The sequence below is a fragment of the Homo sapiens genome, chromosome 10, assembly GCF_000001405.40.
Source record: "Homo sapiens chromosome 10, GRCh38.p14 Primary Assembly".
Lineage (NCBI taxonomy): Eukaryota > Metazoa > Chordata > Mammalia > Primates > Hominidae > Homo > Homo sapiens.
Window position 1 is genome coordinate 123,144,908 of NC_000010.11, and position 26,452 is coordinate 123,171,359.

Sequence of the window (26,452 nt, forward strand, 5' to 3'; positions counted from 1 at the left end):
GGCGGGGTGTGGGATAGTACTGAGTTGAAGGATTGCCACTCGTTAGGGGAGAGACATGAGGTGTCTGTGGGTGGTGGTTCCAGGAACTGAGTGTTCCTGGGAGTGAGTTTTGTAGCTACACTGGGCCCAGGAGAGGGCGTCTGGGCCTCCGTGCTCCCGGTGAAGATCCCCATATGCTAGAAAGGGGCGGCAAGGAAGGTTGTTTCTTGTCCCTCCCGTCCTTGCGGTGTGACGGCTATAGGTGCTGGAGGGGCGGGAGGTCCCTCGGGCTATCAATCGAGGGGAGCTCAGGGGAACTGCAGTCAGTCAGGCTGCAGAGCTGGGTCTCCACCACAGCCTTCCTTGCCCCAGCCCCGTGCCCACCACCATCTCTTCCCTGGTAAAGTGCACGCACTAGTAGGAGCTCAGTGAACGTTTGCTGAATGAATGTGTGAGTGTGCGCAGGCGTTTATGCAAGTGCCTTCATGCGAATTAATGCGTCCTTTGCCGGGTGTGGCAGCAGAGGAAGTGCCTCGGTGAAGATCAGACCCTCGAAGCGATTAGAGGGACGGGACAGAGGAAATACAAGGCAAGATGGATCTTTTTGACTTCCCAAACTATCCCTAGGGGAAGGAGAGATAGGGACGCAAGGCTTCATAACTTCCTTGTTTAGAGTCCGCAAGCCAGGCTTCTTGCAAGGGTCGACTCCCCAGTCTCTCACTGTTTCAGGGCCTGGGAGTTGCTTTTCCGAGGCCCACTTCGAGGTCCCCTGATCTGACAGAGATCACTCCTTGGGCTCTTGCCCCACCCATATACCCGCCCCCGCCATCCCGAGTCAGCAGGATCCTCACAGTCTTCCCCGCAGCCATCCTCCAAGCTCAATGCCTGTGTCTGCTCCTCTCTCCCTCCTCCCAAATGTGATGTATTGGCAGTGGAACAACCTTGAGCACGAGTCTTGCTTTGTCTGCCTGGGCTAGTCTCTTGTTTTCTTGAGCCTCAGTTTCCCGGCCTGTACATTGAGTGAATAGATCTGTGTCACTTGTTTGCCATCAGGATTAAAGCGAAGAATGCTGGGGAGCTTCCAGCATGTTCCCCGCACGACATATTTACAGTTCAGGAAGGTTCGACCAACTTTCCCTGCCTGCCCCCAGCTTTCTTCCCCAGCGGGGTGGCTGGCACTGCTCCCCGAGTTAGCTGGCCAGTTCCCCTCGGGGCTGCCTTGACCCTGGCTCCGGAGGCAGCGCCTAGCTCAGGATGTCTGCGAGAAGCGGATGGTTAGTGAGAATCCGACGATTCTTTCGCTGAACCTCCCGCGTACCCCCCAACAGCGCGGGAGCACGCGGGACCCGCTGCGACGTGGCCCAGGAGCCTGCGCCGCCGCGGCGCAGAGGAGAACGCACAAATTGTATTTCAGCGCCAGGTCCTTCCGGGTTAATGAGCTGACACCATGATTAAAGCTGACCATTTGTAATGTGTCTCGACCCTGCCGCTGAGCCCTGAAGAGGTTAATGCGGTGACGGAGGCCGGCACCTGCCCCTCGCTGGCCTCCCGGGCCGCTGCGCGCACCCCCTGGCCCCCGCCCCCTCGCCTGCCCCTGCCCCGGCTGCGCGGCCGACTCCTAATCAATTAGCCCATTAACGAGCCCCTCGAGGAGTTAAGTAGGGAAGAGTTCTGCCACGGGCAGGGCCGCAGTCGGTAACTCACCGCGGCTAATGATATTATAAGCGCTTTACTTAATAACCCGGGCGCGGTGCAGGCGAGGAAGGAACTGCACAGTCATGCAGTGTCTGGACATTTGTGGGGACTGATTCCAGAGTCTCCACTCACCCTTGGCTGCACTTGGGGGGCACCCTAAAGACAGGGCTTCTGGAATCTCTTGGCCAAGAGGTCTAGAGGTCACAGCTTGAGGGGACGGGGTTGCCTGAGCACTTCGGGCCTTGCCTCACTTCAGTTTCCAGGAAGCTTGTGCAGACGACTGTGGCCCCAAACCGCTTTGCTTGGCTGGGCTAATTCTAGCTCGGGTAACAGCTGATCTAGGAATTAAAGGGGCGAGAGCCAGGGCACAGAAGGGGGCTATGAGAACACAGAGGGAATCACTATTTACTGAGCACCACGGTGTGCCAGGCTCGGTGCTGGGTAGTTTGACCTCACAACAGCCTCTGCGAGGGAGGCACTGCTTCCTCCAATTTTAGGAATAAAGAAACCGAGCCTCAGAATTTCCAAATGTCTTCCCCCAAGATCACCCAGCCGAGAATTGAGTCGAGTCTGCTCAATTCTAAAACCGAGTCCTGTCACCAGTTCCTTATCTTCTTCCTGGGAGTAAGGCGTCTATTTCTGCAGCAGTTCGGAAACCTTCAAAATTTACAAAACAAAAACACAGATTCGCTTAAAACACGGGTGGGCCATGGGCTACCCGGCCAGGTTTATGGAGTACCTACTATGCGCTGCTAGTGCTTCGAGGCTTTTAATCCCTACCTGAGGCAATCCGAGAAGTTATTTTCAACTATGAGGGCAGAGAGGCTTTAATCGGCATGAGTTGTGCAAGTTCATGCAGTGTGTAAATAGTTGTGCCGGAATTTGAACCCAGATCTCTTGACTAGAGGTCTTAGGGCTTCCTCCCTCCCCCTAAAGATTCTGTAGGTCCGTAGAACCTGTGACAGGGATGAGGTCTGCAGACGGGGAAGGGGAATGTCTGCTCCCAAGGCTCCTGGCCATGCTGGAGAGGATGAGCGTCCGCCTGGAGACGCCTGCTCCTAACCCACCTCACCCCCACGCAGGGCGCCACGGTCCCAGGAGTGCCGGCTTTGCCCGCCCACTGGGGCTAGAAGGGGTGGAGGGCTGGGGGAGGATGGTGGAGCAGCCTGTACAAGCCCCTGGGAGGCGCGGAGACCCGTCGCCTGCGGAGGCGTCGAGCCACTCCAGCTCCGAGTCCCGCACCGCCCCTGCCTCTGGAGAGAAGGGTCCAAGGGGTCCAAGGAGTCGGAGTTGCCGCAGCCGCCAGGAACCCGGGCTAGAATCTGCAGCTGCTTTCAGCCCTGGCTGCCCCTGGTTAGACGCCGCTGATGCCCGCCAGGCCCTCGGCGCGCTCTGGGGGCGCACCGGTGCTGTGTGCCTGGCCGGAGCGTTTTGAAATTTTCCGGGGCCGCTCGGCGGCGCTGCGATTGGCCGCGTTCGGGTAACCTCTATGCAAATGAGGCCGCGCCGCCTCCGCGCCGCCGGAGACCCGGCGAGTTGGCGGGCGAGGAAGGGGCATTTGCACCGGGGCTGGGCGGGCGCACCCAGAGCCAGGCGGGCAGGAACCCCTGCGCAGCCATCCGGTGCCTGCATGTCCCTGGCGCGGAAGGGACGCCTCACCAGCCTCGGCGCCCCCTCCCCCTAGATTTCCTCCCCGCCCCTCCCCACTGCCTGCCTGCTGCACCACCTTCCACCCAGATCACCCAGATCGTCTCTAAAGGGAGTTCTTGGTTTCCTTCGATTTCTTATGAACCCAGGATGGGCAGCAAAGAAGATGCGGGCAAGGGGTGTCCGGCGGCCGGTGGCGTCTCCAGCTTCACCATCCAGTCCATCCTGGGCGGGGGCCCCTCGGAGGCACCGCGGGAGCCCGTCGGCTGGCCAGCCAGGAAGCGCAGCCTGTCCGTGTCCTCGGAGGAGGAGGAGCCGGACGACGGCTGGAAGGCGCCCGCCTGCTTCTGCCCAGACCAGCACGGCCCTAAGGAGCAGGGCCCCAAGCACCATCCCCCCATCCCTTTTCCTTGCCTGGGTAAGGATCGCACGTCGCCAGTGTGGCAGCGAGCGAGCGCGAGGGGAGGGAGGCTGAGCGCCCCGCCAAGACTCCCGCGCCGGGCCCCCTCTGGCCAGAGCTGCGGCAGCCGGGGGTTCGGGACCGCGGGGAGAGGGGCGCGCACTGTGGTGCCTCCTCCGCCCGGTGGGCCCCTGGGAGCAGGCGAACACAGACCCGTGCCGGCTTGGGCTTCCTGGGGAAGGTTGAGTTGTTGAGAGAGTGGACCACAGCGAGAGGGACACGCGGCCGGCCTTACACCCGGCTGTCCTCAATCACTGCACATCTGGTACTTTCTTTCCGGACACGAGGTGGAGATCTGCAAGTCGGGTCTGGGCAGTCTGTCTCCACCGTAATCTCTTTCTGAGTCTTCTTCCTCACTCGCTCCGTATCTCTGCCTTTCTCTCTCTCTCCTCCTTGGAATGATTAGCACTCCAAGATGATTGACAATGGTGCATTTCAGAGACGGTTCCTCTTTACAACATTTGACGAAGGGGAGTCCTGCGTTAGTCCTTAGCGTGATTTCCAAACAAACGGCCTGTGAAATGATGCCACCCTATAAAGCTCGAGGAACTCTTCCAGCTCAATTACCACCAAGCAAATTCGCCTTTTAAAACCATGCTAATGTTTCCCCCTCCAGACCTCCTCTCCCTGTTGCCCCTGGCCCATTCATAAAGGTGGGAGCACAGAGACCCCATACTCCAAGTAGCTGGGTCCCTCTCTTGTCGCTTTTAAAGGACGGGGTGCTGGGTTTGGGGGGCCAGTGAGAGGGATAAGAGGAGGGGATTGGTAAGGTGGGACCAAGGCTGCAGGCGCTTGCCAACCGCTTGGTCCCAGGGAGAGCTGGCGGTCTCCGAGGCTCCCCAACCAACTCCATGGCCTTTCTGTCTGTTCTCGCTCCTCAGGTACCCCCAAGGGCAGCGGAGGCTCGGGCCCGGGCGGCTTGGAGCGCACGCCTTTCCTCTCTCCTTCGCACTCGGACTTTAAAGAAGAGAAAGAGAGGCTCCTGCCCGCGGGCTCGCCCTCGCCGGGGTCCGAGCGGCCGCGGGACGGCGGCGCTGAGCGGCAGGCCGGCGCGGCCAAGAAGAAGACGCGCACCGTCTTTTCGCGCAGCCAGGTGTACCAGCTCGAGTCCACCTTCGACATGAAGCGCTACCTGAGCAGCTCGGAGCGCGCCTGCCTCGCCTCCAGCCTGCAGCTCACGGAGACCCAGGTAAAGACTTGGTTCCAGAACCGCCGCAACAAGTGGAAGCGGCAGCTCTCGGCTGAGCTGGAGGCGGCCAACATGGCGCACGCGTCGGCGCAGACTCTGGTGAGCATGCCGCTGGTGTTCCGGGACAGTTCGCTGCTGCGCGTGCCGGTGCCGCGCTCGCTCGCCTTTCCCGCGCCGCTCTACTACCCGGGAAGCAACCTCTCGGCCTTACCTCTCTACAACCTATACAACAAGCTCGACTACTGACCGGCCCGCCGCCCCGCGCCGCCCCCAGCTGCCCGCAGAGCCGGGCGCGTACTGTACTGTAAGCAGGGCTCCGGAGCAAGGCGGCGTGTTTCCAGAAATATGAAGAAATACACCATGTGTATTCATTAGCTCTTATTTATGGTCTCTGCCCTACTTTTTGTTTTGATTGTTTCGGGTATTTATTGGCATTCCCTAAGTCAGAGAGCCTGCTTCCTACCTAGACCGAACCAGTACGCTTTGAAAACCATTCGGAGTGAGATGTTCTCGGGTGGTGGTGGGAAAGGGAGTTTTGGCCAGACAGGCTGTGGTTGGTAGGGAAAAAAATCAGGAAAACACCTACAAAACCAGGTACACTCCTCCCCCATATATACACCTGTATATATGTACATGCATACACGCTCGGCCAAGCCAGGCCCTCAGAGGCTTTGGACAATTACTAAATTGCTTCTTTTCGTTTCCCTCATCCCGAGGATGGTAGGGACGAAAAGGGGAGAGTTCAGATCTGTAAATATTTTTAAAAAGAAAAAAAAATAAAACATTTTAAACATCTTTGCTAACTTTGGTGGGCTTGGTTACCCGGCATGATAACGCACGGAAGGTTTTCAGGTTTTTCGGTGGAAAGACTTGCATGCGTCTGTCTGTGGAAGTTTGGCTCGCTCCACGTGGAGGGTGGGACCGGGGTCAGGGGTTAAAGGTCGGGACCTTGGCGCCGCCCAGACTGCACGTGGCTGGAGCTGCCCGCCCACTCTCCCTCCTAACGCCCAGAATCGTCGCGCGGGCTGGGGCGCACCCCGGCTGGAATCCAGCTCAAGAGTCCGCGCGGAGAAAGACAAAGACTGGGAGGCAGGCCTCGCCATTTAAGCGATTGCCTTCTGGGAACAAGCGAGCTGGGTGCCCAGCGGCATATTCCCGGCACTGGGCTCGCCTTGAGCTTGGCCACAGCAGCTCCCGCTATGACATGCCCTGTGCCGCGCACTTCCTCTCCAGGGGTATAAAGCAGGCGATGGCGCTGCTTGTACCTAGTAAAGCCTCCACTTTGCTCGCCGCGAGCTTGGCGCGACCAGCTTGTCGCTGCGCCCAGCTACCCGGCCGGTGGCAGAGTTATGTGTCTCGCGCGGAGAGGGAACTGGGCGCGGTGAGGCAGTTCTGCGGCTCAGGAGAGATCCGAGGCCCGGGACCAGGCAAAGAAGGTGAGGGAGGCAAAGGCGCTTCCCTACACTCTTTTGTTGTTAATAGTTTGCATTGGTTCAGCGTGTGGCTGGATCACCGGCTAGCACGCGGCCGCTTGCTCTGAATGGAACCTTGACGCGCGGCGGGGGCGCCCACGGACTTCCTCGCCCTGACACCTGCGGCCGCGCAGGGGCTGGGAGGGCGCTGCACCGAGAGAATAGCCGCGGGAGTATCATGCAAATTGCAGATTCTCGCTCCCAATAGATTGCAGCCACCTGTTCTTGGCAAAACCTCGGAAAAGGAAGCCTGAGCTTGGAGGAAGCCGGTGGTTCAGCACCACCTGGGGCGAGCTCCTCCGGCCTCTGGCTGGGCAGAGCGGATGCAAAGGAGCCTGGAGTCCGCAGCGCTGAGGCCCTATCTCATCCGCTAGAAGGAAAACATTTGCGTGTGAGAGTTGACTCTGAGCTGCAAGGCATCGAAATCATCTACATTTTGTGAATATATACAGGATATCTGTAAACATCTATGTGACTCGCAGTATTTTTTGTAAACTGGCCAAACATATTCTATCTCATGTTGTCCATTTTGAGATCATGTTTTTTCTTCTCACATTAGATTTCATAAAAATCACAATCTATTCCAGGGTGATGTCAGAAGGATGTTACCCAAGAACACATCTGCCGACACTAGCTTAGTTCAATTACATTTATTTCAACTGAGCTTACATCAGTAAATATTTACTGGGCCCTAGTACATGCTGAGAAACTATGCTATTGGGTAGTCAGATAAAAGAGACAGTGGATTCGTTTTCTTGTGATTTATCGTATACATATACTTCGTTTCAATGAAATTCTTTTGCTTCAGATGACCCTTTTGAAATTTTTTCTAATGTTCTTGGAATATTCCACGAAAAAACCAAACTGCGTCCAAAGAACTGCTTCTATAGGAATATTCCATCCATATCATTTTTGTTTGCATTTCAATAGATTACAGTTTTTACAAGAGATCATGGTTTTAACAGTATTGGGTCACTGTATCCTCTGTAGGTTTCCCTTATAGGAAGTGGTTTCTTATAGCCATTTCAGTCACTTAATGACAGTGATTTGTGCCCTTAAAATTTTAGGGAATGATCCTTTTCCAGTTTGTCATGATGTGTATATTTCATTCTTTTTACTAATCCAGAAACTAGCTGTCAACCGTGATCCAACAGTATAATTAGTTCTTAGGAATTCCTCTCTCACAGGTAACTAGGTTTTACACACACACACACACACACACACACACACACACACACACACAACTTTGCATTTGGATTTAAATGTTCAGGACTCCATTGTTGCCAGATTTCCTGTCTCAAGACTATCAATTCATTTGAATAATCAGCAAAATCATCAGCCTCCTTTCAGCCTCTAAACTGGATTTAAAAGATTGACGTTTCTTAAAACTCAAATCGAGTCGGGCTGCAACTGCATGCCCAGAGGGACCTGAATCATACACACACTGGATAATGAAATACACTTAGATTTTATTAGTGGGTAATTCATGCTCAGAATCTTGGAACAATAATATAATTAAATAAACAACTGGGAGAAGGAACCAGATAAGTCAGGAGGTAAAATTATTTAGCTAAAGTTAGAATGGAAGTAAGGAACTGCATTTCAAAATTTTGAATTCAGCCATTAACTTGTGGAAAGAGAAGAGATAGAGAACCAAGTACCAGGACTGGCAAGGAAGGAGGGCAAGAGTCTTTCAGCAGTAATGTCATCAATGCAGTAGGCAGAAAGGTTGTTGTTGTATGTGTGTTTCTTGTGTCAGGAATCACAGAAAGAGGTGCATCCAATTCAGGGTGTGTGAATGCATAAAGATCATCAACACTTTCTCATTAATGTCCCTTAAAAGTTAATCACTTTAACCCCACAATTTTCTCTCACTTCACACAAAATCAAATAAAACGATATATATTTTTCTTTTACAAAAGGCAGTGAAAAAGCGGTTAAAGCATGGATTAAATTGAAATTTTTCAGTGAGCCTTTGACATTCAAGAATAACTCAGTCACTTCATTCTACTGATTAAGTATTGCTTTTCTTTCATGGAGATAAAATAATTTCTCATACTCAAGCAACCTTCTTGATCCTCATTTCTAGAGGATTCTAGAAAACAGCAAATGGAGCACACTGAGCCTGCAACTTTGGGGAGTGGCAGGACAGAGTGGAAGGGGAGAGGCTTGTAGCTGTCGTTTCAGGACCCTTCAAAAAAGAGCTCTAAAAGAAGTGGTGGGAGCTTTAACACATTGCAGAGTACTGTCTCCCAGGCTGTTCACCCTTCTGAAGGGGGGTTCCTGAAGGGCAAAGGCTGGTCTGATTACATGCATCTTTCCAGAGCCTCTCACCAGGCCTGGCGCCAGTGGAGGCTCAATAAATGTTTGTGGAAAGATGGGGTGGAGAGATAAAGCATAATATAAATATGAATGGGTTTCTTCAGCAGAACTTGAGACAATGGGAAATGGGAGACCCTGGTTTATAGGTGGAAATTCCCAAGAAATGAGAAAAAAAAAATCAAGGCAAAATAATGCAGTTGATAGAGCAAATATTTCCTCCTCTACATCAACTTTTGGTTAGCTTCACGGGCGTGTGCACGCCCAGGGATAGGGAGACAACTTTAGGACTATATAAGTATTGCCCAAAATGGGATTCTTGTGTTTCAGAGACTAACTTCAAGGGGAGGGCGCCATGGACAGAGCTGTAAAGATCTTTCCCGCTTTCTATGAAGAGGGCGGGCAGAGCGTCAGCCCCTAGAAAACTACATTTCCCAGAATGCCATACGCAGGCGGGAGAGGGCATGAACAGAGCCTTGGCGCGATGCTCCTTGGGAGGTGTAGTTTCCACGCGTCCAGCTCGAACGCTGATGCCCCAGCGCGGTGGTAAAATGAGCCCACGTGATCGGAAAAGCAGCGGTTTCCCTTTGAGCCGGAACAGGATGACTGGGTTGACCGATGCTGGGCAGCTGAGCGGACCAATCGGCCCCCTAGACTGAGACGTTGGCGTTTGAAATCAGCCAATGGCAGGTCTACACTGGAGCTTCCTCTCCGCCTCCTTCGCCTAGCCTGCGAGTGTTCTGAGGGAAGCAAGGAGGCGGCGGCGGCCGCAGCGAGTGGCGAGTAGTGGAAACGTTGCTTCTGAGGGGAGCCCAAGGTAGGGAGGCGAGGCGACGGTGTGCGGGAGCGGGCTCTCCAGGGACTTCCCGGGTCCGCAACTGGCAGGGCCGTTCGATTCGCAGGGGATCCCGTTTCGTTTCTGTTGTTTTCCCTTTATTTTTAGGAGTGCCCGGGGCGACGGGACCCCGGGAGAGGGGAAAGGGAACAGTCTGGGGTCCGGGCATCGCTGTGGGCCGGGCTGGGTTTAGGGGGACGGCGGTGCGGGCTGGGCCGGTTTGGGCGCGGCGGGGGCCGGATGATGGGGCGAGTCCGGACCTTGGCGGGCGAGTGCTCGGCGCAGGCGCAAGCGCAGAGTCTCCTCGCGGTCGTCCTCTCGGCCCCTCCCTCTGGGGGGACCCCCAGTGCCAGGCTGTCAGTGCGCAGCCCCAGCCCGCGGGACCCCTGGGGACTCTGGGCGCCTGTTCTGCAGATGACCGGTTCTAACGAGTTCAAGCTGAACCAGCCACCCGAGGATGGCATCTCCTCCGTGAAGTTCAGCCCCAACACCTCCCAGTTCCTGCTTGTCTCCTCCTGGGACACGTCCGTGCGTCTCTACGATGTGCCGGCCAACTCCATGCGGCTCAAGTACCAGCACACCGGCGCCGTCCTGGACTGCGCCTTCTACGTAGGTGCCCTCCCGCCCTGCTCCTGCCCTCTTACTGTGTTAACGATTCTCCACGTGAGGAGCGTTTCTTTTCCAGTGTTGGGTAGAGGCGTCTGTCGGTGGGGTTATTTGGACAGTTCTTTAGCTTTTCAGGAGCATCTGCCTTGAACCTGTACCGTTTTGGGTTGGAGACATGCAGACATTGGAAACTCCGTCTCCCCTTTTCTGTTACACGCTTGTGGAGTAACTCTAAACTTTCTGAAAATACGATCATTATATTTGCAACAATACTGTTTTGGCTGCCGTATTGAAAGGAACCGTTTAGGGGAAATGTATGTTTACCCTCAGCTAGCGTGTTGGCTAGGATAAAGCAGCCCTCCTTTAATTTCCAGACACAGGAGTTTAGTGACCACTTGCTTTTTTATGCTGTTTTTTGGTTTGTTTACCATGAATAGTTGAGCCCAGTGCATATCCCGAGCATAAACTGAACACTTGCTTGTAGAAATAAGAATGTTGAAACCCTTTCAAAAGTTCTAGTTTTTAAACGGTTCAAAACTATTTTATAGGATCCAACGCATGCCTGGAGTGGAGGACTAGATCATCAATTGAAAATGCATGATTTGAACACTGATCAAGGTAATGTGACCATATCTTTACCAGTTTGTTTTCTTGGCTAGTGTTCTTAAGTATAAATGTTTATGTAGGAAGAGTGGTTCCTAAATTGCTTAGTTACTAAGTTGCTTAAGTACAGGTGGCTTGAATTTAGGATTTTTTTAATTTAAATGATAACCATTAAGTTACTGATTACAGAATATTATGCATGTATTTTTGCAGTAAAGCCAGTTATGGTCGCCATTGTCAGTGTTTACATAAATTGACACTCAAGTATTTGGCCTTTATTTTGTCCTTAGAAGTGGGCTGGATCCCAGACTGGCCAGCGTTTCATTAGGATTTTCCACTACAATGCTGATGTTTTGAGAGTTCAGTTTTTAGAAGCTAATTTAGTTTTCAGAAGCTAAAGGTAGATTTAAAACCTGACAAAAAATAGGCAATCATGTCTATATTAATTGTGTTTGTTTTAGGTATTTAGCAAAATATGTTTCCGTTGCATTTTTTGAATGAGTAACTAGATGATACATTTCCTTTCGGTTAAGTAATTTCTTAGAGATCCAGATATGAAATGACTTACTCAAATTTTTTTGGTGACATTGGCACAGTGTTAGAGATTGGACTGGAGCCCAAATGCATAGAGCTCTCTAGCTGAACATTTGTTTGCATGTGTATTCATCAGACATAGGTATTCTAAGGAGATAGGAGGGTACAGAGATATGACTAGAGAGAAGATGAGTTGAGCAACAGGAGAATGGATGGAGGATGGCCACATTTTGTCAAAAAACTAAGCACCCAATTAGAAGAGGCTTTTGCATGAAAGCTACTTCTTCTGTAACTTATACTGCAGGTATTGGGTTTTGTTTGCCAGTAGCTTACCCTGTGTAATAAGTAAGCTTGTAAGTCTAGGTTCTATTTGTTCAGAAACTTGTAGGGGTAGGGAGAAACACTGAAAAGCAAACGTCTCGATTTTCAGTGTTACATAGAGAATTAGCTGTTTATTCTATGAAAGTCACTGCCAAACTTCATGAAATCCTTTCTTTTTCTTTCTTGTTTTTTTTTTTGAGCTAGAGTCTCACTCTGTTGACCAGGCTGGAGTGCAGTGGTGTGATCTTGGCTCACCACAGCCTCCGCCACCCGCATTCAGGCAATTCTGCCTCAGCCTCCCGAGTAGCTGGGACTACAGGTGTGCGCCACCATGCTCGGCTAATTTTTGTATTTTTTAGTAGAGGCGGGGTTTCACTGTGTTGTCCAGGATGGTCTTGAACTCCTGATCTCGTGATCCGCCCACCTTGGCCTCCCAAAATGCTGGGGCTAATCTTACTGTTTGCAGGTCAGGACCATATATTGTTCATTCCTATATCCTTAGCAGTTGGCACAGATTCTGGTACATAGTAGATGTTAGTTGAAGGAATAAATGAGATATAGTGAGAAGGTTCAAATTGAAAAGAAAATGTCTATTGAAAATTTGAACCACAGTGGAACCAAGTGCAGTAATGAGAGGACTTCACTCCCAGTTCTCATAACCCTTTAGCCATGTAAATAAGTTTCTTAGCAGCATTGGCTTAATGTTCAACATAAATGTTGTTGATCCAGAAGACCAGAGTTCTCCATTCATTTGTTTATTCAACAGATATTTCTTGAGCACCTAGCCTGTACCAGACCTTGCACTAGATACGGGCAGAGATCACAGAGGTAAACGCAGTTCCTGATAGGAAATCTAGAATCAAGTGAGGAAGATAACAGACATGCCACTATGTTAATGTAATCTGAAATTCAAGACAGCCTTTGGTATGTGCAATACTAGTGAGTCATGTGAAGTGTGCACTGTAAGGTGAACAGAGAGGAACGGATAACTTTGTAGTCATGGAGAGATTTTTCTGTCTGTAGTAGACATTTCCATGGGGTTGGATGAGGCAAATTCATTACAGTTGAATGAATGTTTCTTTTAATTGTTTATTTTAGGAATCTTTAGTAAAGGTAGTAAGCTAGATGTTGGGGTTTTTTCCCCTTTTTTTTTCTCTATAGAAAATCTTGTTGGGACCCATGATGCCCCTATCAGATGTGTTGAATACTGTCCAGAAGTGAATGTGATGGTCACTGGAAGTTGGGATCAGACAGTTAAACTGTGGGATCCCAGAACTCCTTGTAATGCTGGGACCTTCTCTCAGCCTGAAAAGGTAGGCTCTTTATATTCATTGCAGGAGTTGATGGTTTTGGGGTGATTTTTGTCTTGGTGCATGATTGTTGACTATGCTTGTTGAATTTAAAGGTGAAAAGTCAACATGGGGGGAAAAAAGGTTGACAGTTGGTTTTATAAATCCAACTACATAGAAATGCTTTAATGCAAAAGAAAATTAACTTTGGGATTTTGGGCCAACTTTTATTTGTCAGTTGTTATATTTGCTTCCATGTATTGTTAATGCTTTAAATCGCAAAATTGAGAAGCAACTCACTGCCTTTTCAGAGAAGTCATTTAGCAGACTGTTCGATTGTCTTAAATTGACGCTCCATCCCAAACCAGAAGATTGGATGGAGCATCACTTATTTTCATTTGTTATCTGAGGTTTCTTTGGGTTGACTGTTGAGAGGGCAAAATGGGTTATCATTTCAAGTTCAGTAAGAAAGGTGTTTTATGTTCCCTGGCTTGTACTGTTCGTATATTTATTTTTTAATACTGACAGATGTAGTTTCAAGGCACCTTAGTGAACAAAGCTTTTTAAAACCAAAACTTTGTGTATTATTCTAACCTTTTGATCTGTATGATAAAAGTGTAATTGAGCTTTCCTTCTGTATCCTCATCAGACTTTATCAGGTGGTAGTTAATTTTAAAGATTGATTGTTTAAGCAGTTTAAAGGTATCCCTCACTTGAGTCTATTTCCTCAGCGTGAATATACTATTCAATTCCTGTTAGCCATCATTATTTACAATAGTGCATCCAAAGAGCCATTATTTTTGTCACATCACAGTCGAATCTACTCCTGGCAAGACCTTTGTTCAGAATAAAATAATTGCATTGTTTCTAGTTTTGATTTATGGTTGTATGTAACATGTTAAGAACTGTGATAAATTGCTGACAGAATATCATATAATGGACAGCCACACTGAATCAAGCTGCTTATTGGTTCAGCAAGGTTCATTATGTCACTTTTTTTAATACTTTCTTTGATAAATGTATATACCTAGTCAGTAGCATGACAGTGGTTTCACTTGATTTATGATCAGTGGGGATAGAAAGCACTATTAGAAGCTTGTGTGTCACCTATATAGTAAAGATTTAAGATAAAATTCCCAGTATGATTGTACCATTATAAATCGATCTCTTTCTGGATTCTTTATTTTTAAAGTTTGGTACTTTATACATCTTAATTTTCATTTTACTGCAAACATTTTGTTTTCTGAGTAAGCTATGATAAATCTTAACATTTCTGACATTTATATCTGCTTATATTAAATCTATTGTTTTGAATCTTAATTTTAATTCCTTATTTTTCCCTTGGTCACATTAATTGTTGAATTTTAAGGCCAGATTCTAGAGAGGGGTGGGACATGGCGTTGTTAAAGCTAACTTGGTTCTTCAGCTGATGGTATGTGGTTAACATACTAGTGATTATTAACATATGGCTTAAGTACTGAATGTTGAAGAGACATCATCTTACCTTGCCATGGGGCCTCTCTGCATTTTTTATGGCAGTTCTTCAGGTTTGAAAATGCTAAGTCAGATTAGAGTTTCTTATTAATTGAAAATAATAGAGCACAGTTGTGAATCGCAAGTCTAGATTTTTAAAAAGTGACTGAACATGATCAGGAGAATATTTTTTTGCCACCTTTTTAATGAGTTGGCTACCTCTGTTTTGTTTCCAAGTAACACTATATTTGCAAATAAACCACTAAATGTTTGCTTGTAGGAAATTCTATGGTTTATTATAAAGGAATTTTTGTGGAAAGTTTAATATTGAAGAAAGACATTATAAGGGGAAAAATAGGGGATACACTACTTTTAAAAATTTTCCCTAATGTTGAACTTCTATCTTGAATGCATAGTATTACATCAGGGCACAAGAATTGCTTTGTCATATGTCAGACCACTATCTTGTCTTTTAATTTTGAGTTTGTATGCCACCAAAGGCTGCTAAACATCTAATTAGTGGTGGCTCCCTCACCCTTCCTGGAAAGGCCTATTTATTCCATGTAACAACTGGGGAAAAAAAATCAAGATTTTTAGAGTTGCAAAATGAAATATTCTAAAAGGTGGTTTTAGAAAAATAGTTTTGAAAATGATTGTTTTATGAAAAGCCAGAAACCCATTAAGCTCTACCTTGAATTATTTTATGGCTCTATTATCTCATTTTTGAATTTTTTTTTACACTTTTATGTTGTCTCTAAATGAAACATGAAGGCTAGGAAAAATAGTTTAATTTGTTTTAGTAATGGAGAGAATTAAGACTTCAAAAGCTCCTTTACAGAATTACTTAGAATGTACATTATATGATGCTTGGTGAAGTATGGAGAGCATCATGGGTTTGCTATTTTATGTGAATTACTTGGTTTGAATAATTGCAGTATCTAAAATTGTTATCTGTGATTGGGGAATTCAGTCAGCTAATTTTTTATGGTCTTATGATCAGATGGACTTTATTTTGGGGCAAAATGCCATTTTCAGGCAAGAAGGTGATTTTTAGCAAGTTTTGATCTTTTTTAAAAGGTATATACCCTCTCAGTGTCTGGAGACCGGCTGATTGTGGGAACAGCAGGCCGCAGAGTGTTGGTGTGGGACTTACGGAACATGGGTTACGTGCAGCAGCGCAGGGAGTCCAGCCTGAAATACCAGACTCGCTGCATACGAGCGTTTCCAAACAAGCAGGTATTGAACTATACCTCCTCTTCTTTCTGGAATTTGAAAATAATATGATCTTATATTATAATGATTTGGCCACTAGCCCCTAAAGCCTTCTTTTTTTTTTTCAGTAGTGATTTAGAATTTGCTGTTAGGTGTATTCTTCCTTGATATTTTTGACAGCCATGTGTTAACAGGAAGTGCGTTAACCCCCATTTTAGAGACGACCTTGATGTTCAGAGAGACCAAGTAATCTGCTCAGGAAGTGGTTTGAATAGAGGAGGTTTTCTGACCTTTTGTTGATCCTGGTCCAGGATGCTTCATAGGTATACAGTAATCAAAGAGCGCTTTGCAGATATTTCAGTTTACAAAATGCTGAATTAAAATTTATATCTGGATTTTAAGCTTATGGAATTTGCTGTTTTCTTTTTGCCTTTTTGTAACCCTAATGCTTATGGAGTTCTTTCCCCAGTTTGACAATAGAACTTTGATAGTTTTTTTTTTTCTTAAACTCAACTGAGATTAGAGAGGCAGGGCCCCTCTTATGACTGACTCTTGATGTACAGGGTGGGTCACCTTCCATCATCGCTAAATGATATTAGCCTGTTTATTAGTGAGCTCCCTCCTCCCTCAAGTCCTTAAAGTTCTAAGAGGAGATGGTGGTGTGGTCAGGTGCAATAGGAATTTTGCAAGAGGAAAAGTCATTAAAAACAGAAGGTGTCTCTGGTATCTTATGGCTGTCCTTTGGTGGTTGTAGAACTTGAAGCAGGTATGTTATTCTCTTTGCTTTTTAACCTGCAAAGGCCAGTACCTCAAATGGTGATCACAGTTCCTTTTTTTTTAGGAAATTGTAAGTTTCCATCGAAGATAAAGAATTGCAGTTATGTGAAACTTCAGAGATTTAGATATGTGATTAAAATATGCTTACATTGTGAACATTATTTTAATGCCATTATATCTAATATTTTATATAGGATTATTTCTACTTTGTAATGGAAGTTAAAAAGTAGGATTTTACTGACTTATATATTTCTTCATAAACAGTTTTCAGGAATAAATCTTTTTCATACCTTGAAGGATTAAAAAATCATAGATTTCATATTTGGTGTGTTAGCTCTTATTTTTTAAGATACTGTCATTTCAACGAAAGATGAAAAAACGTTTAAAATTGTAAACCACTTTTGAATGTCCCTGAAAGTCTTTGTGCAAACCTGACTTGCTGTATTAAATGCAAGAAGTAGTATGACTGAGATGGAAGACTGGTGTTCTAGTTGATTTGGATTATTGATGCCCCCAATGAAGGAAACACAATTCTTAACAGTTGTTCGCGATGAAGAGGCACAGAACATAGAAGAATATATTTTAACTGAGGGAACAAATTTGAGTCTGCTGGGCAGGACAACAAATAAGCGACACTAAAACACTTTAAATTTTTGTTTAGGTTTGATGCAGTAACTAGATATTTTTTATTGTAATGTGCAAGGCCCTGGTACCTGTGAGGAAAGCATGTGATGAGTCTTATTTTCTTTTTAAAGTCGTCATAACCATGTTAGTACAGCCTAAACACTTCATTAAAGCCTGCTGTACTTCTCATTTCTGAAATAATCACTCTTTAGTGTGGGTTGAATTTGGGAATTAGCACCTTGTTTTTGGAAGCTGGAATTTACCATTTTTTTCCTCTGGTTCTCTCTTGGCAGGGTTATGTATTAAGCTCTATTGAAGGCCGAGTGGCAGTTGAGTATTTGGACCCAAGCCCTGAGGTACAGAAGAAGAAGTATGCCTTCAAATGTCACAGACTAAAAGAAAATAATATTGAGCAGATTTACCCAGTCAATGCCATTTCTTTTCACAATATCCACAATACATTTGCCACAGGTAAAGTATGGCATGCTGACCTATATTTAATTATTATACTATTTGGTGCTTGCTTTTTATGGTATTTAGTGAAAAAAAATCTGTACAGTGCTTTAGGGAAATGTAACTTCTATGACCTTAAAAATTAACTGTTAAGAGAATGGTTATTTCTGTATCTGGTGTTAAGAACCATTTTAACTGTTTTGAAATTACTTCCAGGTGGTTCTGATGGCTTTGTAAATATTTGGGATCCATTTAACAAAAAGCGACTGTGCCAATTCCATCGGTACCCCACGAGCATCGCATCACTTGCCTTCAGTAATGATGGGACTACGCTTGCAATAGCGTCATCATATATGTATGAAATGGATGACACAGAACATCCTGAAGATGGTATCTTCATTCGCCAAGTGACAGATGCAGAAACAAAACCCAAGTGAGTATGCTTCACCTGTATTTGAGCCTTTTCTTGCATTCAACCCAGGATTTATTAATTTTTCTAAATTCATGAATAGCATTGTTGATGCCTGCTCGATATTACAGCTGACTGTAGGGTTGGAGTTGATGTTATCATGTTCTCCCAAGCTTTCAATATCCGTAGGTTGATAGACGTCTGATGGATAAAATTGTGCCTAGTTGTTTTGTAGAGAAGAATGTCAAACTCTTATTCTTCTTGAATAGGCTCTATTATTTGAATCTCTGGAGTTATTACCAGCTCATTGCTTCAAAATTAAGTTGAGGAATTCAAGAATAATTTATTTTAGTAAATTCTATTTAAGATGTTTAAGAATTTGAACTGCCAAAAATCTTTCCTCTCCACAGAGGTTGTTTCTTTAATATTAACACAAAGTAAGTGACCTTCAGGTCTTATTGGAAACTCAGAGTAATATGGCCTTGCCTGGAATTGCAAATTTCCTTAGTTTTGAAATTTTCATAGATGTCTTTGGTTCTTGGTTGTAACTGTTGACTGAGAAGAGCCATTTACATTTTTTGATACCAACAGGGCAAAGCTTTTTACTTAATTACCTCTACCAGGCTTTAAGGGAAATCTGATACTTCAGCATGTGTTAAACTATAAAATACCTACTCCAAGTATCTGCCCAGTTCCTTGTCCCCTCTCCCCAGGCCCTTAAAGGAAGTTCTCGATACATATTTGTAGAATAACTGAATGTTTTCAGGATTCCTGTACTTTGCTGAGTTAAAATGGATATGGTACCCTTGCTGATTGGTTGAGCCCCTAAGAGGGGGCAGAATATTAAATATTCCATATCAGATATGCTTTTACAGGTTTGACTTTAGAAAAGTCTTAGCATGTGAAGCCTGTTGGATAAAGGGCTGTGTTTGCATTTAATCTGTCACTTTTGTATCTCCTGTCCTGGCTGGCCATTTTGATCTCATGCTGTTCTTTTTTTCTTTTGAACTTGTAGGTCACCATGTACTTGACAAGATTTCATTTACTTAAGTGCCATGTTGATGATAATAAAACAATTCGTACTCCCCAATGGTGGATTTATTACTATTAAAGAAACCAGGGAAAATATTAATTTTAATATTATAACAACCTGAAAATAATGGAAAAGAGGTTTTTGAATTTTTTTTTTTAAATAAACACCTTCTTAAGTGCATGAGATGGTTTGATGGTTTGCTGCATTAAAGGTATTTGGGCAAACAAAATTGGAGGGCAAGTGACTGCAGTTTTGAGAATCAGTTTTGACCTTGATGATTTTTTGTTTCCACTGTGGAAATAAATGTTTGTAAATAAGTGTAATAAAAATCCCTTTGCATTCTTTCTGGACCTTAAATGGTAGAGGAAAAGGCTCGTGAGCCATTTGTTTCTTTTGCTGGTTATAGTTGCTAATTCTAAAGCTGCTTCAGACTGCTTCATGAGGAGGTTAATCTACAATTAAACAATATTTCCTCTTGGCCGTCCATTATTTTCTGAAGCAGATGGTTCATCATTTCCTGGGCTGTTAAACAAAGCGAGGTTAAGGTTAGACTCTTGGGAATCAGCTAGTTTTCAATCTTATTAGGGTGCAGAAGGAAAACTAATAAGAAAACCTCCTAATATCATTTTGTGACTGTAAACAATTATTTATTAGCAAACAATTGATCCCAGAAGGGCAAATTGTTTGAGTCAGTAATGAGCTGAGAAAAGACAGAGCATATCTGTGTATTTGGAAAAATAATTGTAACGTAATTGCAGTGCATTTAGACAGGCATCTATTTGGACCTGTTTCTATCTCTAAATGAATTTTTGGAAACATTAATGAGGTTTACATATTTCTCTGACATTTATATAGTTCTTATGTCCATTTCAGTTGACCAGCCGCTGGTGATTAAAGTTAAAAAGAAAAAAATTATAGTGAGAATGAGATTCATTTCAATGTAATGCACTAAAGCAGAACACGAACTTAGCTTGGCCTATTCTAGGTAGTTCCAAATAGTATTTTTGTTGTCAAACTTTAAAATTTATATTAATTTGCAAATGTATGTCTCTGAGTAGGACTTGGACCTTTCCTGAGATTTATTTTATCCGTGATGTATTTTTTTTAATTCTTTTGATACAGAGAAGGGTCTTTTTTTTTTTAAGTATTTCAGTGAAAACTTGGTGTAAGTCTGAACCCATCTTTTGAAATGTATTTTCTTCATTGCAGGTCCACCTAATCATCCTGTGAAAGTGGTTTCTCTATGGAAAGCTTTGTTTGCTTCCTACAAATACATGCTTATTCCTTAAGGGATGTGTTAGAGTTACTGTGGATTTCTCTGTTTTCTGTCTTACAAGAAACTTGTCTATGTACCTTAATACTTTGTTTAGGATGAGGAGTCTTTGTGTCCCTGTACAGTAGTCTGACGTATTTCCCCTTCTGTCCCCTAGTAAGCCCAGTTGCTGTATCTGAACAGTTTGAGCTCTTTTTGTAATATACTCTAAACCTGTTATTTCTGTGCTAATAAACGAGATGCAGAACCCTTGAATGTTGGATGTTTTTGAATGTTGGTAATTAATATAATTTACTTAAAAAGGCTTGTGTAAGGCAAAACTCGTCATCACAGGCATGTTGGGGGATGACATTTTACCTTTAAGTCCACTCTCCCTCGTTTAATTGTCTCCTCTGATGTGTGTTGGGGATTCAGTCCTGCATAAAGTGATTTGTTGGAGTTCAGCCATTTCCCTCATGCCCCCTTGTGCCCTCTCGGTGGATCAGCAGGGCCTTTGAGCCAAGTGTGCAGCTTCACTCAGGATGGGCAGAGACTATGTGGCAGCCTCTGGGGACCTTTTGGCTCAGTGCTTTACTAGTGCCAGCGCAGTAGTGCTTAGGTAGCTTGTGCATCCCCGTGTTGATGTAGTCATAGTCCACACAGAGCCAAATAACAGACCCTTCTGTACTTAGCCATCAAATACTAAATCACAGTGAAGCCCTTGGGAAGGTAAATAATGTAATAGCCAGGGACTGATGGTATTAGTTCTTTAGTGTGATTATGTGCTTCTAAAAGTCCCTAACCACTTGGTTGAGGACAGACCATAAGTTTAAAACATTGTATAAGTGAAAGAATTAATATAGTATTGTTATAGGTAACCAAATTATAGTAATGTGGACTTGTTTTTGAGGTGGTGAGGGAGGGCTTATTTTGTGGTTCCATCTGGATGTCCTCTTGTCTCTGGAAATCAAGTGTGCCTCCCTGCCATCTCTACATACCCCTTAACCAGCTCTCCACAATTTACTTGTTTATGGTTATAGCTACCTTTTCCCCAAGTTACCCAGGTGTAGTTACCTTGGCCTTCTCATTGGTTTCCCTCACCCACATTCTTTAAGTGTCTCTTCTGTTTATCTTTTCTTCCTACTGCTACCATCCCAGGGCCTTTTGGGTGAATGTGGCAGCCTCCAATTTCTGCCTTAAGTCCTCCATCTAATAGAGTAGTGACTTTTGAACCTTGTAGTTGTGACCCAAGTAAGAAATACATTTTGAACTACAGTTCAGAACACAGAGGTCAGTATATTATACATGACAGAAGGATCCTGAAATATGACTTGCCCTTCTTGCATGCGATGTATCTGGTGCATGTGTGCATTTTTTTCTTTGCTTTTTAAGAAATCCTGGCTATGTCACCTTGAATTGATTTTACAACAAATGCCTGTCACCTGTAATTTGCAAAAACTGCTTGATCAGATTCTAAAAAATTTCTAAAAGATTTTTAAAAAATGTATTCTGATGTCATACTTGGAATCCTCCACTGCTTCCTGTTGCTCATAGTCACCCTTCAGTGATTTCATAAGGAGGTGTGCTGCTTCCCAAGCTTCTAGATCATCAGGAAGGGGCCGCGGACTGTAAGGTGCTCTCAGAAGATGGGACTAACCTTTGTTGGGAATATAAATAAGTGGATGGGATGGGAAGTGACAGCAATATCTGGTTCTGAGTTCTGTTGTGTAAAAACTTAAAGGTATATTAGCAGGTTAGCCTTTGTTCTGTGGGAGATCCAGGCCTTGTTAGAAGGACCAAGGCCAGAATGCCCAGTTTAGCCTTAGCATTCAAACCCTTCATTGTTTTTCCTCCATTATCTGTTAAACTCCTGCTTTGCCAAAGGTATCTTCTATACCCTAATAACACTAGCTTCCTTCCCTCAGTGGGGACTCAACGCACATTAGCCTACTGAGAGCTTAGATCACTACAACGAATCCTTGTAAATTTGTTTAACTCAGTTTTCCCCAAATTCATTTAAGCCGGTTCTACTTTTTCTGGTCTTGTTCCCACAATCATTTTACCTTTTACCACTCCCCCAGAAAACACTGGGGTTCTTCTCTTACGCTGAGAGCCAGGTTACTTTCTTCACTATCACTCCGACGCTTGTGTTGATTCCCAAATCTCAGTCTGCCCAGGGTCATTCTCTTTCTGAATTGCTCTTTCAGGATTTAATTTGAATCCTGCAAAGTCCTGTTCAAGGCCCCCTTTTCCATGAAGCCCTTCTTCCTTGTTGCAGCTCACAAATAAGTGTGCCCTTTCTCAAAACACGTATGAAACACCTCCTGCTTGTATACCTTTAGCAGTAGTTCCTCATATTGCCTGGCATTTAAACATTTTTGTATGCGTACATCTTGCTTTCCTACTTAAAGCAAGAGCAGGACCACATCTTTTTGTATGCTCTGGCACATGACTGTTGGACCACTTTGATATTGCTGAATTATATAGACTCCTTTTAAAATAATTTGAAATATAATTTTGGAGTATAGACATCTTGTCCAGTGCACTAGACAGGTGACCTTTGGCTTTGTTCATTAAGCATTTAGTGTCTTAGAAGTGATATGTTTACTGCAGAAAAATTTGGATAGCATGCAAAAAATGAAACATACTATCACAATCCTATGATATAACTTAAAAATTTCTTTATAGCTTCATGGAGGTATTTGATGAAAATTGTATATATTTAAGGTATATAATGTTTTGATACATGTATACATTGTGAAATGATTACCACAAGGAGGTTACTAAACATCTCCATCACCTTGTTAAATTGAGTTAAACAAATTTACAAGTTGACAAATTACATTTACAAATTTATGTAATTTTTTACGCTTTTTTTTTTTCTCCTTTTTCTGGAGAACGGGGTCTCGCTATACTGCCCAGGCAGGTCTCGAACTCCTGGGCTCAAGCTATCCTCCCGCCTCTTGCCTCCCTAAGAGCTGGGATTATAGGCGTGAGCCACCCCACCCGGCCTATGTCATTTTTTTATGTGGTGAGAATAAATAATCTCAGCAAATTTCAAGTATACAATTCATTATTACTAAGATAGCCACCACACTGTATGTCAGGGCTCCAGAACTTACTCATCTCATAGGAGGCAGCTACTTTTAACATTCTTGGTGTATATCCATCCTTCAGGATTTTCTGTATATTTCTCTAACAGCAAAAGTTTTTGTTAGCTACATCATGTGAAATGCCTGGGTAGACAAATTTAAAGATGTTATTTGGGATGGTGTGACTTGCACAAGCCACACAGCCTGCATGGTGTCCACTTTGAGGGGGATGCCCATAGCTATACTTAGAAGTCATCCTCTAGAGCAAGCTTGTCCAATTTGTTGTCCATGGGCCACATGCTGCCCAGGATGGCTTTGAAGGTGGCCCAAAACAAATTCATAAACTTTTGTAAAACGTGAGATTTTTTGTGATTTTTTTTTTTTCGAGACACAGTCTCGTTCTGTCGCCCAGGCTGGAGTGCAAGTGGCGCGATCTCCGCTCATTGCAAGCTCCGCCTCTCGGGTTCAAGCAATTCTCCTGCCTCAGCCACCCGAGTAGTTGGGATTACAGGCACCCGCCATCACGCCCGGCTAATTTTTGTATTTCTTTTAGTAGAGACCGGGTTTCATCATGTTGGCCAGGTTGGTCTTGAACTCCTGACTTCAGGTAATCCGCCCTCCTTGGTCTCCCAAAGTGCTGGGATACAGGCATGAGCCACTGCACCCAGCTGTGACTTTTTTTTTTTTAAGCTCATCAGCTATTGTATTAGTGTATTTTATGTGTAGCTCAAGACAATTCTTCCAGTGTGGACCAGGAAAGCCAAAAGATTGGACACCCCTGCCCTAGAGCATCTGACGCCTGGATACAAAAGAGCCTGTGGCTATGACTATCAGGATTCTGGCCATGAGGAATTCCATGACATGGAGGGAAAATGGCAACTTCAAATTTGCACCCCCAGGTATCATGTGGGCAGGTGCTCCATGTGGCTGGTGATAGTTGTGAGTGAGCCTTGCACGGGCTTTCCCCCTATCGGCTGTTCCAGAGCGAGAGGCTGCAGGTGTCCACTTACGTACCTGTGGCTAAGATGCGCCTGAGCAAGTGAGGGCCAGTTAGTATACATAATTTTTACAAAATTTGGATCATATTACATAAATATCTTGCTTCATGCACTTAATATGAAATTTTGCCCATGATTTATTTTTTACCTTATTTTTAAGGGCCACCTAGTTAGAATTTGATTATTTGAGCAACTATTTAGTGCCTGTGATGTGCCAGCCACTGCTAGGTTCTGGGGCTCAAAACACTGTGACAGATGCTGTGATACCACAACGTGGCCACATTTTGTTTTCAAGACCTTGGCCAACCTTTGGTCTTCACAGCCACTGCCCTGGTAGTAAGGGACTTAGTTAAGTTTGGTGACTGCTTGAAGTCTAAGATCACCAAAGTGGCTAATGCAGGCACTGTGACAATCTGGGCACTAGGAAAAGCAATGTGGGCAGAAATTCCTTGTTCGAGAGCCTTCTGGTTATACTTTAAAAAGAAGGGAGCCTAGCATCTTGTCAAATCTTTGAGCCCACTCACTCAGAGGGCCTGTCACTCATCCAGAATTGAATCTGCTGGTTTAACAGGTCAGGCAGTGTGATTTGACAGCGTGAATCTTAGAGTCCAGCCTTTGAACCTGGCGCTGAATCCTGACTTTACTGCTTATTCAGGGGGCCACTAGCTAAGTTAATTTGTGAGCCTGGGCAACATGGCGTGACCCATCTCTACAAAAGATACAAAAATTAACTGGATGTGGTGGTGCATGCCTGTAGTTCATAGCTACTCTGGAGGCTGAGGCGGGAGGATAACCTGAGTGCGGGAGGTTGAGGTTGCAGTGAGCTGAAGTTGCACCACTGCACTCCAGCCTAGGTGACAGAGTGAGACCTTATCTTAATCTAAAAAATAAAATTTCTGAGCCTTATTTTCCTCATCTGTAAAATGAAGAGAATACCTAGCTCATGGAGTTAGGAACAAGTATGTTAAATATTTATCAGAGTGTGCCTGACAGTGAGTTGAAAATATCTACTCTCTTTGGATGAAAAATATTTAACACTTCACTCTCAGATATAATTATTAGCTGACTTTTTAGATTCTTTTTTCTTTTACATGATGTAGTTCTCAGATATATACGGGATTTCTAGTTCTTAAATGCCAGTATTTTTTTTCTGTTAAAATATTTATGAACTATTTCAAACATTCAGAAAAACTCAGGATCATACCCATAAACCCACTGTTTAGATTTTAAAAAGTTCAATGTTTTTCTGTATTTTATCTCTTCATTTTAAAATAAAGTTTTGCACATGTTTGAAGCCTCATTTGTACCCCTCCCTCGCCCCATTTCCATTTTCCACTTTTCTTCAGTGTTGTGCCCATTTATGCTTTTTTTGCTTATATAGTATCCATATAAAATACGGGCTTTGCATTTTTTGCAAGTTTGTATAAATGGTAACTGGTAACCGTTTCTATCCCAGAATAAGCCCACCCCTATTTAACATCAAGTGTGGTTAATAAGATGTAGGAAAGGGAAAGGGACAAAGCTACAATCCATCACTGACCGGGAAACAACTTAGCAGCAGCAAGGTTGGGCAGGGGAGTGGCGGAGCTGAGCGCCCCCTCCTTTGAGGTCAGCCACCATTTTTGTAATGGAATGGCAATTGTCTCTGACTTGGTGAAAACTGCATAATCAAACAGAAATTGTTCTTTTCCTCAGGAAACTATGTGAGCATGTTAGTATTCAATAGATAAGGTGGATTAAAAACAACATCTGTGTTGACATCTGAGGAGCAAACACAGCGCCAGTTTCATGGTTCTTCTCTCCTTTGACTTCCCCACTTCAGTCTTTGAAATGTCTCTGGGTAGCCCATCTTTCACTTGGGAAAGTACTGATTTATGCTATTAAGACTAGTTATAGCAGTTTCCTTTCAGAATGGCACCTGGCTATGTTGCCTTTGGAACTAGCACTGAGAGAAATGAAAGAAAGCTGCTGTACCTGTGGCCGCAAATACCAATTGCGCCATTGAGTACAAAGGCACTTTCCCCTTGATCAGTGGTGTGTTGTAACGGTGCTTTCATTTTCGAAGGATGCCCACAGAACTTGTCCTGGGGTGGTTGTAAGGCACTTAGTTGGGAATCATTTTGTGTCCTGATGAAAAAAAAATCAGAAGATAAAAACTAGACTGTACTGTGATTTATAGA

General features: G+C 44.7%; 2 protein-coding genes across 3 annotated transcripts, besides 11 other annotated features; both read left to right on the plus strand.

Moving 5' to 3' along the window:
- Positions 3,099-3,418: a silencer, noted in NCBI's record as "silent region_2902". NCBI's record gives its function as "represses an Ori minimal core promoter by ATAC-STARR-seq in GM12878 lymphoblastoid cells {active_cell/tissue: GM12878}" and the evidence as "EXISTENCE:reporter gene assay evidence [ECO:0000049][PMID:35858748]".
- On the plus strand, positions 3,229-5,765 carry HMX2 (H6 family homeobox 2). The gene is made up of 2 exons (NM_005519.2): positions 3,229-3,739; positions 4,663-5,765. Exons 1-2 carry the CDS (start codon positions 3,472-3,474, stop codon positions 5,214-5,216), a joined length of 822 nt encoding a protein of 273 aa, NP_005510.1. The 5' UTR covers positions 3,229-3,471; the 3' UTR covers positions 5,217-5,765.
- Positions 3,809-3,938: a silencer, noted in NCBI's record as "silent region_2903". NCBI's record gives its function as "represses an Ori minimal core promoter by ATAC-STARR-seq in GM12878 lymphoblastoid cells {active_cell/tissue: GM12878}" and the evidence as "EXISTENCE:reporter gene assay evidence [ECO:0000049][PMID:35858748]".
- Positions 5,046-5,340: a silencer, noted in NCBI's record as "tiled region #2134; HepG2 Repressive DNase matched - State 4:PromP, and K562 Repressive non-DNase unmatched - State 23:Low". NCBI's record gives its function as "represses a minimal TATA promoter and a strong SV40 promoter by Sharpr-MPRA in HepG2 and K562 cells {active_cell/tissue: HepG2 | K562}" and the evidence as "EXISTENCE:reporter gene assay evidence [ECO:0000049][PMID:27701403]".
- Positions 5,855-5,924: an enhancer, noted in NCBI's record as "active region_4147". NCBI's record gives its function as "activates an Ori minimal core promoter by ATAC-STARR-seq in GM12878 lymphoblastoid cells {active_cell/tissue: GM12878}" and the evidence as "EXISTENCE:reporter gene assay evidence [ECO:0000049][PMID:35858748]".
- Positions 5,975-6,034: an enhancer, noted in NCBI's record as "active region_4148". NCBI's record gives its function as "activates an Ori minimal core promoter by ATAC-STARR-seq in GM12878 lymphoblastoid cells {active_cell/tissue: GM12878}" and the evidence as "EXISTENCE:reporter gene assay evidence [ECO:0000049][PMID:35858748]".
- Positions 6,325-6,544: an enhancer, noted in NCBI's record as "active region_4149". NCBI's record gives its function as "activates an Ori minimal core promoter by ATAC-STARR-seq in GM12878 lymphoblastoid cells {active_cell/tissue: GM12878}" and the evidence as "EXISTENCE:reporter gene assay evidence [ECO:0000049][PMID:35858748]".
- Positions 9,166-9,460: an enhancer, noted in NCBI's record as "tiled region #11829; HepG2 Activating DNase unmatched - State 1:Tss, and K562 Activating DNase matched - State 1:Tss". NCBI's record gives its function as "activates a minimal TATA promoter and a strong SV40 promoter by Sharpr-MPRA in HepG2 and K562 cells {active_cell/tissue: HepG2 | K562}" and the evidence as "EXISTENCE:reporter gene assay evidence [ECO:0000049][PMID:27701403]".
- Positions 9,180-9,349: an enhancer, noted in NCBI's record as "experimental_10624 CRE fragment used in MPRA reporter constructs". NCBI's record gives its function as "activates a minimal promoter by MPRAs in K562 erythroleukemia cells, with activity observed for both the introgressed and non-introgressed 10:124913688 or rs3808962 variant alleles {active_cell/tissue: K562}" and the evidence as "EXISTENCE:reporter gene assay evidence [ECO:0000049][PMID:34662402]".
- Positions 9,186-9,345: an enhancer, noted in NCBI's record as "active region_4150". NCBI's record gives its function as "activates an Ori minimal core promoter by ATAC-STARR-seq in GM12878 lymphoblastoid cells {active_cell/tissue: GM12878}" and the evidence as "EXISTENCE:reporter gene assay evidence [ECO:0000049][PMID:35858748]".
- Position 9,265: a transcriptional cis regulatory region, noted in NCBI's record as "Neanderthal adaptively introgressed variant 10:124913688 (GRCh37/hg19 assembly coordinates) or rs3808962 in the experimental_10624 CRE". NCBI's record gives its function as "modulates activity of the experimental_10624 enhancer by MPRAs in K562 erythroleukemia cells {active_cell/tissue: K562}" and the evidence as "EXISTENCE:reporter gene assay evidence [ECO:0000049][PMID:34662402]".
- Positions 9,495-25,560, plus strand: BUB3 (BUB3 mitotic checkpoint protein). Of its 2 annotated transcripts, none has more exons than NM_004725.4 (8): positions 9,495-9,578; positions 10,011-10,205; positions 10,751-10,820; positions 12,822-12,973; positions 15,500-15,658; positions 17,329-17,506; positions 17,705-17,921; positions 18,913-25,560. In NM_004725.4, the coding sequence occupies exons 2-8, from the start codon at positions 10,011-10,013 to the stop codon at positions 18,926-18,928; spliced, it is 987 nt and encodes a 328-aa protein (NP_004716.1). In that variant the 5' UTR covers positions 9,495-9,578; the 3' UTR covers positions 18,929-25,560. The 2 variants fall into 2 exon arrangements, with proteins under 2 accessions (NP_004716.1, NP_001007794.1); NM_001007793.3 differs by having other exon boundaries at positions 20,140-20,458.
- Positions 10,076-10,145: an enhancer, noted in NCBI's record as "active region_4151". NCBI's record gives its function as "activates an Ori minimal core promoter by ATAC-STARR-seq in GM12878 lymphoblastoid cells {active_cell/tissue: GM12878}" and the evidence as "EXISTENCE:reporter gene assay evidence [ECO:0000049][PMID:35858748]".

Excerpts from the sequence above, each read along its gene's own strand:
- HMX2 (NM_005519.2), top strand. The coding sequence starts at position 3,472 with ATGGGCAGCAAAGAAGATGCGGGCAAGGGGTGTCCGGCGGCCGGTGGC. Across the intron at positions 3,740-4,662 it reads CATCCCTTTTCCTTGCCTGG|GTACCCCCAAGGGCAGCGGA; the intron begins GTAAGGATCGCA and ends CTCGCTCCTCAG.
- BUB3 (NM_004725.4), top strand. The coding sequence starts at position 10,011 with ATGACCGGTTCTAACGAGTTCAAGCTGAACCAGCCACCCGAGGATGGC. Across the intron at positions 15,659-17,328 it reads GAGCGTTTCCAAACAAGCAG|GGTTATGTATTAAGCTCTAT; the intron begins GTATTGAACTAT and ends CTCTCTTGGCAG. Across the intron at positions 17,507-17,704 it reads CCACAATACATTTGCCACAG|GTGGTTCTGATGGCTTTGTA; the intron begins GTAAAGTATGGC and ends AATTACTTCCAG.